The 13631-nt window shown below is 44.3% G+C and overlaps 1 protein-coding gene across 1 annotated transcript in view, besides 1 other annotated feature; it reads right to left on the bottom strand.

Moving 5' to 3' along the window:
- CNTNAP2 (contactin associated protein 2) overlaps positions 1-13631 on the bottom strand; it is a 2304198-nt gene that overhangs the window by 152476 nt on the left and 2138091 nt on the right. The window contains exon 21 of the mRNA NM_014141.6: positions 1397-1490. Within this exon, the coding sequence (NP_054860.1) occupies positions 1397-1490 (94 nt within the window). The remainder of the gene's footprint in view (positions 1-1396; positions 1491-13631) is intronic.
- Positions 5432-5726: a silencer, noted in NCBI's record as "tiled region #9018; K562 Repressive DNase unmatched - State 4:PromP". NCBI's record gives its function as "represses a minimal TATA promoter and a strong SV40 promoter by Sharpr-MPRA in K562 cells {active_cell/tissue: K562}" and the evidence as "EXISTENCE:reporter gene assay evidence [ECO:0000049][PMID:27701403]".

The raw sequence follows: 13631 nt of genomic DNA, 5'->3' as shown, positions 1-13631 counted from the left end.
CCACCACGCCCGTCTAATTTTTTTAAATTTTTTTGTAGAGACGGGGTTTCACCGTGTTAGCCAGGATGGTCTTGATCTCCTGACCTCGTGATCTGCCTGCCTCAGCCTCCCAAAGTGCTGGGATTACAGACATGAGCCGCCACGCCCAGTCTATTATTTTTATTATAGGTTCAGTCTCCTACTCACTCCTCATTTTGTGACCCCTGCCGCATGTTTTTAAGTGAGCATTTTTACCATTAATGCTATTCTGATCACTTCTACACACTGGCCGCCGAGTGACCTCCCTCCCACCTGTACATCACCACCATCTTACTGTTTTCATTGCAGTTCACAGTACACAGCCTCATATGAACAAAATTCATTGGCTTCACATTAAATATTTTAAAATACTTCACCAATCATATCGATATTTTAAAAATTTAGGGTGTAATCTTCACATATCTGTGGCTCATGGTACATTTTTTAGCTTTGCACAGTGCTAATCTCCTCTGGTGAAGAGAGGGACAAGGAGACTCTGGAATTCACAGTCGCACATGGGGAAGGGTGTTCTGTCACACTGTCAAATTCCTTATTGGCCTTCTTATCTGCAAATAATATCAAGGTGCTTTCTTACGAGTGAGAGGAAGATAGAATCATGTTGATATGCTTTGACAAAGGAAACGTTAAATTACATATTGCTAGTAGGTAGAGGTCTGTAATAGACCAAATTCTACATAGAGAAGCCTGGAGCAGATTTGCCTTCGCTTGGGTTGTAGTTTATGCCACGCACCAAACAACGTTTGTTCCATTACCATCGCTGACTTAGAAGCCCCCATTACCAATCACAATGTGTTTTTTGTTTGTTTGGTTGTTTTTTTTTTTTTTTTTTGAGACAGAGTCTCGCTCTGCCACCCAGGCTGGAGTGTGGTGGCACGATCTTGGCTCACTGCAACCTCCACCTCCGGGGTTCAAGCAATTCTCCTGCCTCAGCCTCCCGAGTAGCTGGGATTACAGGCACCTGCCACCATGCATGGCTAATTTTTGTATTTTTAGTAGAGACGGGGTTTTGCCATGTTGGCCAGGCTGGTCTCGAACTCCTGACCTCAAGTGATCCACCAGCCTTAGCCTCCCAAAGTGCTGGGATTACAGGCGTGACCCACCATGCCCAGCCTAATCACAATGTATTTCAAAGGCGAATTAGCTTTAGAATGAGTTACATGAGCAATTTCCCCCAAAGATAATTTGTTGACGCTTTGCTTGTGCAACACCGAGAACAACCACGTAACTTTCCTGTACAGAGAAGATATTCGTGACTGGCCCCAGTAAGAGAAATTTACCTGATAGTTTTAAAATCCAAACTCACATTACCCAAATGTATTTGTAGCACGCATTTATACCTAACGAACCACATTCTTACCTATAACTTTTCCCAGAAAGAGCGACTTGGGAGAATTGAAGAGGGTGTCGGATGAACTTGGCAGATGGTAACTCACAGAAGGATAATGATCGAGCTGCAGGAGGAAAACAAGAGACACTTTTAGAAGCACGTCTCTACCCTGTGTGGAACCAAATCTTCCCTGTGGGGATGACATCACTCTTTGAACCCTGGTTTTCTGATATCTTATTTCATCAGCACTGACTCTAAAACACCACCCCGAGAAAATGGAAACCCATGTCTTCCTTTGCTGGGGTTCTTTGAAAAAATCTGAGGATGGTAAGTGAAGATCCTTTATGAACGGCTCTCCAGGTGATGTACATTTTCTGTGGATGATTTACCTACAGGATTAAGATCCATGTTCTTTTTAATGGAGTAACATCTGCTTGATCCAATCTCCAGTGTCAGCCTCTGATAGGGAATATGCCACATCTACAGCAATGAAGTTTTGCGGAAACATTTTATTTTGTGACATGATCACACACACACACATACACACACACACACTCAAATGCTGAGGGTCAAGTGGGGTAAACAGTTGTAGTTTTCTCGGTTATCCCAATGAGAATGATTTCTCCTGCCACAGGCAGGGGTGGTTGGGCGAGTTGGCAGCAGAGGGAGAGAAATGAAGCTGTTGGGAACGGTGCACAGACAGTAACCACGGAAGCGACGCACGTTTCTGATCCTGTTGCCCGTGGACAAAGTGCCAATGGTGGTGTCAGAATCACTGGCCTTGCCCTTTGTGTCCCTGTGTGGCTTTTCCTGCCTTATCTTCTCAGCTGTCTTTTTACCACCTATACAGTCTAGATGTGTTTCTCCAACTGTGAGCTCTTAGAGCTTTCTGGGCCTTTTTTGGGCCCCCCACCCCGGTGGAAAACATTCTTTTGTAAGCATTCATTTTTCTGAAGTGAGTTTAATACGTGCTAAGGTCAGCATGACGAGAGGTGCGGGTTATAAGAAAGCACAGCATTGCTTTCCGACATGGGCATTCCCATGGGGGCCACGTCAATTGTGTAGAGGAAGGAGACAGAACAAGCAGCAACTTGTTGAAGGCAGCAGCACAGACTCAGAAGCAGATACGATCCAGAGTCCTTGCTCAAACTGGGCCTGATTAGGCAAAAAACTGTCCTTCAGATGAGCAAAGATGCTGGAAGCTAGCTGTGCTCTTGGGAGGAAGGAGAGAGTGGCAGTGAAGAAAGAGGGCAGGCAAGTGATCAAATGGCATCACCACATCATACTACGATGAATAGTCATTCATTATTAATGACTGTCTGCAGCAGAATCTTGAAACTGCTTCCTAGAAACTTAGAGATCATTGCACAGTCACGGTTAAGAGTCAAAGGGTCCTCACATCTCAAGAACATTTTAGATTTTTGACCCACAGAACTGGTACAGTAGGTTTTTGTGCATGAGTAGTATTGCCACAAAAATCCAAAAGCACCCCACCCCCAAAAACTATTAAAGTAAACATTTGCATGCTTGGCTATCATTTTGAAAAGTTTTCTATAACGTCAAATGCATCATTAACAAAACAAACCAGGTGTGGTGGCTCATGCCTGTAATCCCAGCATTTTGGGAGGCTGAAGCTTGTGGATCTCTCGAGTCCAGGAGTACAAGACCAGCCTGGGCAATATAGTGAGACCATTATCTCTATAAAAATTTTAAAAAGTAGCTGGGTGTGGTGGTGTGCACCGGTAGTCACAGCTACTCGAGAGGCTGAGGTGGGAGGATAGCTTGAGGCCAGGAGGTCAAGCCTGCAGTGAGCTGTGGTCATGCCACTGTGCTCCAGCCTAGGTGACAGAGTGAGACCCTGTCTGGAAGCAAACAAACAAACAAAAACACTTATTCCGTTCAGATAATCTTAAATATTTAAAATCTCATATATATGTTTCTTTGGAGCAAAAGCTCTTCAGTTTCTGCTCTTAAATATTAGCTAGCTGCTTTGCTGCCATCTAATGACACCCATGGGTAACTGCCACCGCACTTCTGTTTACTTACTCTCTTTTGTTAAATGGTTAAATGCAAAATGCCATTGTTAACCAATAGCCTACCTGGCAATGCCTTAGGAGGTGATAATCTCCACCTCATACTTCTTACAATTTAAAAACTAAATTTGTGATCAGGGCAGTGGCTTACGCCTGTAATCCCAACACTTTGGGAGGCCGAGGTGGGTGGATCATGAGATCAAGAGATCGAGACCATCCTGGCCAACATGATGAAACCCTGTCTCTACTAAAAATACAAAAAGTAGCTGGGTGTGGTGGCACTCCCCTATAGTCCCAGCTACTCAGGAGATTGTAGCATGGGAATGGCTTGAACCTGGGAGGTGGAGGTTCCAGTGAGCCGAGATCGCGCCACTGCACTCCAGCCTGGTGACAGCAAGATTCCATCTCAGAACAAAAAAAACAAAACAAAAAACTAAATTTGTAACAAAGTTCTATTTTCTTAAAGAATTTTAAAAATGGATACAAATAATATATGTTCATTATAGAAAAACACAGATTTGCCGGAAAAAAAGTTGCCTGCTAATAATAAATGTTAATTTCTAATGTATTTTCTTTCAACTTTTTAAATAAAAAAGGGATGGAACCCAAGTAACACATTGTTTTGTATATTTTTTAACTTGATGATATATTATGAATGTCGCTCTGTGTCGATAAAAATACAACAAAATTCTATTTTCTTAGCTTTAAAAATGGATACAAGTAATATACGTTCGTTATAGAAAAAATGATATAGATTTGCAGAAAAAAACTGCCAGCTGATAGTCAATGTTAACTTTTAATGTATATTCTTTCAACTTTTTAAGTAAAAAGGGATGGAACCCAACTAACACATATTATGTTTTGTATATTTTTTAACTTGACGATATATTATGAATGTCTTCTGTCTCAATAAATATACAACAAAAATCATTTGTCATGGATGACTAGTATTTCGTTCTATGGATACATAGTACACAGTTTTAAAGATTAAATTTCCATGTTTAGGTTTTTACATTTCTGTGTCCTCAGGCCCAATACAGCCCAATACAATACATGGTGGGATCTTGATAATTGACATTAACAGTTGTTAATGCAACTTTTAAAGTCGCGAGCACCGAAGGGAAATCCGTCCTCAGGTTTGGCATGACCCACACAGTGGAGGTACCTTCCTTTTCCTGAATTGTTTCTGCAGATCCAGACTAGACGGCCTTGGCTTTTTGGCAGCCATTTTATATTATTTTTGCTGAGCTACAGTAAAATAAAATTCCTAGTTGATCTCTATAAGTGTATTCCCTTCCTATGTCTGCGTGGTTGATGGCTTTAACCAAAAATGCTAAATTTTACATTTATTTATATAAACTTTTCTTTCTTTCTTTTTTTTTTTTTTGGGACTGAGTCTCGCTCTGTCGCCCAGGCTGGAGTGCAGAGGCACCATCTCGGTTCACTGCAAGCTCCGCCTCCCGGGTTCACGCCATTCTCCTGCCTCAGCCTCCCTAGTAGCTGGGACTCCAGGCGCCCGCCACCACGCCCGGCTAATTTTTGTATTTTTAGTAGAGACGGGGTTTCACTATGTTGGCCAGGATGGTCTCGAACTCTTGACCTTGTGTTCCGCCCACCTCGGCCTCCCAAAGTGCTGGGATTACAGGCGTGAGCCACCGCACCCGGCCACTTTTATATATTTTGTTTTGAAACACAGTAATAGCCTCTACTCAGAGGTTTTTGATTGTTGATTGTGTCATCTTGCTTCTCGGTGATCCTGCTCGGTTTTGACTTTTCTAAAAAACATAATGAACACTCCTAGCCTTAACTCATTGATGAAGTCATTAATTTCAAAACAGTGAACAGGAACCTAAATGGGTCATGCTGTACAGTTCTAATCCAAATTACCTGCTCAGTTAGGAAAATATGAGAAGTGACGAGGATATCCAGAAAGCCTTCAACATTCACAAAGGTGAAGCTGCAGTGCCTGAGGAAATTCTCAAAGGAGGGAAGGAGGAAAGCGTTCTCCGATCAGTCTCTGATCTTACCACGAGCAAGGCGTCCTTACGTCTTCTCTCTCGCATACTCCTGCCTGCCTTGTGTCTAAGAAGGCGGGCTGTGGCCGGAAGGGATGAGTGGGATTGTGGGGAAGGTGGGTTAAAGCAAGAGGACCCCAAAGGAAAAGCAGCTCTGCAGCTGACGGCGGATGCTTTGCCGAGTGTTACCACCAGGTGGTGCTGTCCCCCTGCCGAACATAATTCAGAACAGCAGCATCGGATCAGGGCTCTCCAGGACCTGACCATGTGACACGAGACCATTCTGCAATTTTGTCTGAATATGGAGATATGGTGGGCGGAATCATGCCTCCCAAAGATAACATCCTAATTCTCAGGACCTGAGAGCGCGTCACCTTCCTTGGCAAGAGGGGCTTTACAGATGTGATTAAGATAATAGGGGAATTCTCCTGGATTCCCTGGGTGGGTCTCAGGTCCCCACCAGGGTCTTTATAGGAGGGAGGCAAGAGGGTCGCAGTGGAGAGAAGATGTGACAACGGAAGCAGAAGTTAGAGTGACGTGAGGAAGGGCCCAAGGAACGCAGGAGACTCTTAGAAGCTGAGAAAGGCAAGGAAACAGATTCTCCTCTCAGAGCCTGCGGAAGGCACCAGCCTTTCTGATTGACTTCAGCCGTTTGCGCTGACTTTGCACTTCTGGCCTCTGGAACTGTGAGATAGTAAATGCATGTTGTTTTAAGTCCTTAAGTTTGTGGCAATTTGTTACAGCAACACTGGGAAACTAATACAAGAAATTAAAAAATAACAGACCTTGTACAACCCAAAACCAAAACATCTCTTTCTCCCGGCAATTTCTTCAATAACAACGTTAGTGTTCTCCATTCTTCCTGCCTCCCAGATGAAATGCATTAAGAGGCCCAATAACTGAATTAGCCCTGCTTTTCTGAGAGCACCCAGTTGATTAGAGACACCTGCTTCCTTGAACCCTCCCCACCATAAGCCTGATTCCTAAAATAAGCCCTTCCTGACTCTTAGAGCCACCCCGTCATTCTCTAAGGTATATGGGTCCCTTTGCGTCAATTATCAATCAACTCGTTGCTTCCTGGCTCCCAATGCACCCTTCAATATAAGCTCTATGATAAACAATGGAATTCCTTAAAGATTTTGCTTTTAAGGTGAGCACAATGTCAAGCTTTCTCAGTAGCGTGCTCTGGAGGGACACTGCAAGAGGAAGGGGCTTACTGCAATTTCCAGCACAGGCTCGAGGAGGGGGATAGCAGAGGCTCTGCCCAGAGTGCGAGGACATGAGGTGAAGCCTGTCTGAGTCGCAGGCCTTTTAAGAGAACCCTCTGTGACCCTAGCGTCTCAGCCATGGCAACCTGCCCACAGACCTCTGGACGTGTGTCTGAACCGCCCTGGTAGCCCCTCACTCTCACCCCCACCGCCATTGCTATTGCCTGCTCCCCCACCTGCACTCCAGAGGGCAGCCAGCCTGTCGCTCCCCCAGCAATTCCGGACCAGCTCCAGCTTGGCTAAGCAGGGGTCTCTGCTCTCTGCCAGGCAGACACACCTTCTCCAGCAAGGTCCTGAAGGGCTTCAGAACACGCCACCTCCAGATATGCTGGCTTGAGATGGGGACAATTTTGAGCTAAAGGCACTTGAAAAACAACAGATGCGTTGGGCGTGGTGGCTCACGCCTATAATCCCAGCACTTTGGGGGGCAAAGTGGGCGGATCACCTGTGGTCAGGAGTTCGAGACCAGCCTGGCCAACATGGTGAAACCCCATCTCTACTAAAAGACAAAAATTAGCCGGGCATGGTGGTGCACGCCTGTGGTCCCAGCTACTTGAGAGGCTGAAGCAGGAGACTCGCTTGAACCCGGGAGGCAGAGGTTGCAGTGAGCCGAGATGGTGCCACTGCACTCCAGCCTGGGTGAGAGTGAGACTCCATCTCAAAGAAAAAAAGAAAAACAACAGATGCACAAAGGACACTCTGACCTCCCCTTTTCTTCCTGAAAGCAGGAGATGAAACTTTCATATGGAAGATGGCTTCTCTCTACCAGGAAGAAAAGAACATTCTTCTCTCCAGAGGCGGGGAGTTGAGGCCGAGGGAAATCGGTACAAACAAAAAGTGTTTTGACAGTTAAAAAGCTCTTGTTAAAATAACCCTTGTCTTTAGTATCTCCATATAGTTAGTTACTTTTTCAAAATTACTACTTTTTGTTCACCCTGTTGCATAAGCACTTAGGCCTGGCTGCTTTTGGATCTTGGTGTCCTGTGAAGGCCCTCACATGCCTGTAAACATTGGCTTGCGTTTCCTCTGTTAGTCTCTCCTACGTCAACTTAACTCTCAGGCCCAGCTGGAGACTGTCAGAGGAGACAGGGGCAGCTTTGCCTCCATTACGGTCAGACACCCACCGAGGTTGTCCCTGGATGGGCTCCCTCAGCCCTAGGGGGCCACTAGGAAACTGCACGGATTTCCTTACATCTTGGAGTTGCTGTTTGCCATAGTTAATGCTTCTATTTATCACCCCATTTTAACCGACTGTGGTTTCCAGCTCCCGTTTGACTCAAACTGCTAAGCCCTCACTGCAACAAGGGATAAACCCAACTTTGTCCAACTGCAGATATAGTTCTGGTCTTGGCTGGTGGGATTCAATAGTAGGAAAAAGGAGGAAGCACATATTGAGCAACTGCTGTGTACAAGGCTTTGTGCTGATCTTTTAATATGTATTGTCTTATTGAATAGATATTAGATAGGTATGATCTCGTATCTTTGATATTATAAAGTGTCCAGTCACAGAGTAAGTACCAAGGCTGGCACTCTGACTCCAGAGACAAAACGGTGAGCTGCAGGCCACAGTCTCTTGAACTAGCCCAGTCACCTCAATTAGGAGAGGGAGAGGATCAGCTACATTTTAAATATTTACATTTAAAAGAGAAAATACTTTAAATCAGATATAGCGAGAAAAGCTTAACATGAAAAGCCTAAGGAAATGACATATTATATGATTTCACTCGTATTGCCAGGTGGCCACCTCTTTTCAAATGAACCCTGGTGCATTTGCCACGGTTAAGTGTAATAATTTCAAGGTAATTTCTTTGGGGTCCAAGTGAGCTCTTTTGTAGAAATGTATTTTGCTGTACATTTAGCTGGTGGTCATTTCACTGGCAGTTAAGAGGCGATAAGAGATTGTGTAATAGAGGCTCATTAAAATTAAAGACTGTGACTCCATGTACCCCAGGACAACCTTGAGTGAACACTAACTTGTTCAACATTTGCCATGAAGCCATTAGAAGCATACTGATTTAGGCAGGACCTTGTGTCTTACACGTGGAGCTTAAAGCTTTAACGTCTATTCAGGTATTATTTTGCAATATCCATTCATTTCCATTTTTAAGCCACAGTTTGCGTTGGCAGAGTTTGAAGGGATTTCATCAGCCGTTTACGCTTTGGGGATGCAGTGGAGAAGCTAAAGAAGAAATACCTAAATGGCGTGGGTTCTCCTGGACCGGTGGAGGGGCCGGGCCCCATCTCCTGAGATGAAGGACACAATTTCAAGGCAGATCCCGCTTTTTCCATGGCCTAGACAAAGGCCTAGGATTTCTTGCTGTTTTTCCTAATCGTTAATTTTAGGGAATACTTGGAATTAGCTCAGCGATATTGAATTTAGAATATATCATCTTTTTTCTTCAAAATATCATTTTATTCCCAATAAAGTGATTATGGAGAGATTGGCTTTAGGTGTATGACTAAGGAGTTTCTTTTTTTTTTTTTTGAGGCAGGGTCTTATTCTGTCATCCAGGCTAGAGTGCAGTGGCGCAGTCACAGCTCACTGCAGACTCCACTTCTCAGGCTCAAGTGATCCTTCCACCTTAGCCTACCGAGTAGCTGGGACCACAGGTGCATACCACCATGCCTGGCTTTTTTTTTTTTTTTTTTTTTTTTTTTTTTAAGACGGAGTTTTGCTTTTGTTGCCCAAGCTGAAGTGCAGTGGTGTGATCTTGGCTCACTGCAACCTCTGCCTCCCAAGTTCTGGTTCAAGCAGTTCTGCTGCAGTCTCCCAAGTAGCTGGGATTACAGGCACATGCCACCATGCCCAGCTAATTTTTGTATTTTTAGTAGAGATGGGGTTTCACCATGTTGGCCAGGCTGGTCTTGAACTCCTGACCTCGTGATCTGCCTGCCTCAGCCTCCCAAAGTGCTGGGATTACAGGTGTGAGCCACCGTGCCTGGCTGCCTGGCTAATTTTTAAAATTATTTTTAGGAGAGATGGGGTCTCACTATGTTGTCCAGGCTTGTCTCAAATTCCTGGGCTCAAGTGATCCTCCCACCTCAACCTCCCAACATGCTGGGATTGTAGGCCACCACGCCCAGCCTAGAGCATATCATCTGATGAATGTTTTATTTACTCCAAGTTGAAGCCCAAGGCTGAAGATAAGAAGAGGCTGATGCAGATAGACTTCAGGTAGGAGAAACAATTATCAGCTCAACTCGCACCCCTTATCTGTGTCTACCCGTCCTTCTAAACTAGAAATTCCCACAGACTTCAAAGAAGAGAGGGTTTGAAGAGTGGAGACCATCTCTTTCTCCCCATCGGAATCTCCATTCTATGAAGGGTATACACAAGCCTAGGGCCATTTGCAATTGAAAATACGAACAAGCAGGCCTTGACCCCAGTATCAAGGATACGTTCATCTAAATGTTTTCTGCCCCTTCCTAACCCTAGAATCACTTTGTTCCTGATAATGGAGAGGACATGGAGCAAATGTAGATGTGTGGGAGATAAAGAAGTAGGATTAGGTGTGACTCTCCTGCTAGTCCAGGGTTGCAGCTCTGTTCCTGATCCTCCCTTGGTGAGACCGTAACCCTGTGGGTTCAAGGACGCTGCCTCAGTTACCACTCCTGCCCCAGGAGCGTGGCATAACACACGCTTGTTAAACACTGATCAGTGGGCTCAGCAGGTGCAGTGGAAATCCACCTGGTTGTCAGAGCTCCGTGGCTAACACCTCACCTCTGGACTTTCGGCTATTTCTTTCTCTGTAGTGTTATCTAATAAACCTTCCAGTTAATTTACGATCCACATGAAAAGGGCCTGTGATATGCAAGGTGCTCATTTAACATGTGTTAAATGGGTCAGCACTGGCTGAGCCATGTTCGTGTATGTATCTGTATGTAAATCTGTCTGTGTGTGTGTGTGTGTGTGTGTGTTTAAGGTGTGGATTCCTAGCTTTTACTTCCATTAGAACTTCTGTTTGTAGAGGGAGGAATCTCTGTGAATGACTCAGTGGACTGAAGCCCTCATAGCATTTTATTGACATCGAGTTTGAGTGAGTGAGCTTGGCTCCATCCTCCCAGACCACATCGATGGGGAGACTGGCTGATCGTGAATCTGGGACTCCGAATTTTCATGCAAGAGACACTTGCCCCTGCTCTGCTCTGAGAGTCTTGATTTCAGTGCAACTTGTTTTTGGGACCACATTGCTGAGAGCCACAAGCCCATCAGGGTGAGGGTCAGCAGGCCAGCCCCCTCCCAACCTACATTGCCAAGCCCTGCGGCCATCCCTCCAATCCCAAGAACAGCCATGGGTGCAGATGAGAGGACACCATTTGGGAGGCTGACCCATTTAGAGGTCACGTTGTCTACCTTAATTTGTTTTTGGTTGAGCTACTCATAAATCCTGCCGACTTATAGAGATACTCAAGAAGAAGAAAGAGGCCAAGAAACACTCTCCCCTAACAGAACTCTGGAATAAACGAGCAACAGCCATGCTTTTGTCACTGGGTTAGCGATGCATGCCGGTCCTGGAGGTGCCTGGTGTGTTTCACGGCGGATGCCTTTACGAAGGGAAAGTTAACCGAATCCTGCAGGTAACTGCAGATGGATAAGTCAGGGAGCCTTTGCCTCTTTGGGAGAGATTAAATGGCCCTGGGGAGATCAGAGGGGTAGGGGGCATCTTCGTAGAATGGAGAGGCGAGAATGCAGTGCCCTCGCCTAGACCTTGCCCCTGTGCTGTGACCTGACTCTCACACCTGGGGAGGCACTGTGCACTCCCAGGTGTGCTCAGGGCTTTAGACCAGCTGTATCTTTTGCCCAGAATGCTCTTCTGCTGTCCTTTCACCAAATACAATAATCAATTTGTGCTTCTTCTGGGAATTATTCTCTAAACCACTCACTTTATTACCAGTCCCCAGCTGGGCTCAACCACGTTGGAGGACTTTGACTTAATTAATTAATTAACTAATGTATTAATTAATTGTTGGCAAGGCCAGAGGTGGCCTAGCCTAGGGCCAAAGCAGACAGATTTGTCTCCTGAGCCCCCTTTACCTAAGCCTACGCCTGGGTCTGGGGGCTCTCCGGTCCAAGAGCAAGAAAGAAAAACTGGCTGCAAAACTAGAAGAGATCCAGGTGAATCCACTGTGCCTAAGCCTTTCTAGGACAGAAAATCCCCTGCGCATGGGAGCTGGGGCTCTCTCCAAACCCGAATCACCTGACTGTGAGAAGGCAAAAAGAGAAAAGTGGCTGGTTTCAGTATGTGTTTCCTCTTCTCGGTAAGGCACTGTCCTCTATGGAAGGTCATTCAGGGACCCCTTGCAAACCAGCTTCTAGACTTCCAGTGTAAGAGAGGAGAGGTGGCCTGGGGGGATGAGAATGGGGCCAGGAGATGGGCCCTGGCTCTGCCACGTGTTAAATGGATGTTTATCAAGTTAGGAAGCCTTCTTGGACTTCAGTTTCCTCATTTGTAAAGTGAGGAGGTTGAACCAGTTCTGTGAGGTTTCTTTGAAGATGTTCTGCTACCATGGCCCTAAGGAATAGTATTTTCCCATGTCTCTGGGGGCTTTGAGCAGAATCATCTGTGAAGATACAACTCTAGGGTACCACTTGAAGGTGTCTTTTCAGGGCACTATTCAACTTCGACCGGTTTTGGTGATGGATGGAGGGTGGGAGGAAGCGTCCACCTGCCCTGGAAAGGCATCATTCTCTCACTTTCCATTTTGAGATCCAGACCGTATAACAAGTGCCATCTTTGCCGTATGTACTAAAACATCTCGGCAGACTTGGCTCCCGACATTCAGCCATAAGATTGTCAATTTCAGGTTCATTTGGGGATTTTCAGGTAGGGAGGGGCCTCAGAGATGTAGTTTATCACCATCTTTTCACAAACTTAGAAGGGGAAGCAGAATCCCAGGGAGAGGTAGTGATCGTCTCAGATTCCTGGACTGGAAGTGGTAGCATCAGCCTTGAACCAATATTCAACTCACAAGGAACGCAGTTTCCCAGAAATGCTTAAGGCTCGAGAGAGAAAGGATTTAAGAGACAGATCTTTCTTTGTTGTGTAATTTCTGTTTCAGAGATGTCAGGAGGTTTCTCTAATGGCTTGATAAGCAATTTTAAAATGAGAGGTATAATAAGTACTTACTGCTATTGTCATTATGCCATTGTTATTATGGTAATGTAATCAGTAAAATATATCTGCCTCTTAAGGTCTAGAGTAATTGAAATCATACCATATTGATGCAATTAAAAGAATTAGTGAAACTATTAGGTGATTTATGTTTTATATCAAAAATTTCTCAAAATAGTAGGAAGAAAAAATTAGCTTTCACACAGTGATTTACTTTATCTAGACTAATACTCCACCTACTGGAAAAACACTGAATATTATTTAAAGCATAAGATGTTTAAAAAGAAACCAAGCAAACGGATTTTCTATCAATAAGTTCGTATAATTTTTGTAAATGTCAACGGACAGGAGGAGAAATTCTCATTTCACAGCTGATATAGCATTTCTTTAATAGCATTGATTTCAAAGATATTTATAGCACAATGGCTCAAGCACTATATAATTATTTCAGAGAATCTGGTCAGAAAACATGTAGCACTTTTAGTTTTGTGACTTTGACTTGCAAATGAAAATTCAGAAGATGATTGTAAATCATTAAAAACAATATCTGAACTAGTCTTCTAGTAAATTTGAAATTTACTAGAAATTTCAAATTTCTTTGAGATGTAGTGTGAGAATAGTTCATGGTTTTATACACTTTCATATTTAGAATCACTTTAGTAACAATCAACTTTAACCGTTACACATAGTGAGTACTTTAGATAATAATTTACATAAAATAATCATGAATTAATTTTATATGGCATTTTTTCCCTGAAGAGCTCGAGGAAAAACACATTTTGATAACTTAGAACATGACTTTCTAGGAGGAAGAAAAACAAACAAATGCGTGGAAA

Source organism: Homo sapiens, chromosome 7 (assembly GCF_000001405.40).
Source record: "Homo sapiens chromosome 7, GRCh38.p14 Primary Assembly".
Lineage (NCBI taxonomy): Eukaryota > Metazoa > Chordata > Mammalia > Primates > Hominidae > Homo > Homo sapiens.
The sequence above is the reverse complement of the archived record's forward strand: the minus strand, read 5'-3'. Positions and strand labels throughout refer to the sequence as shown.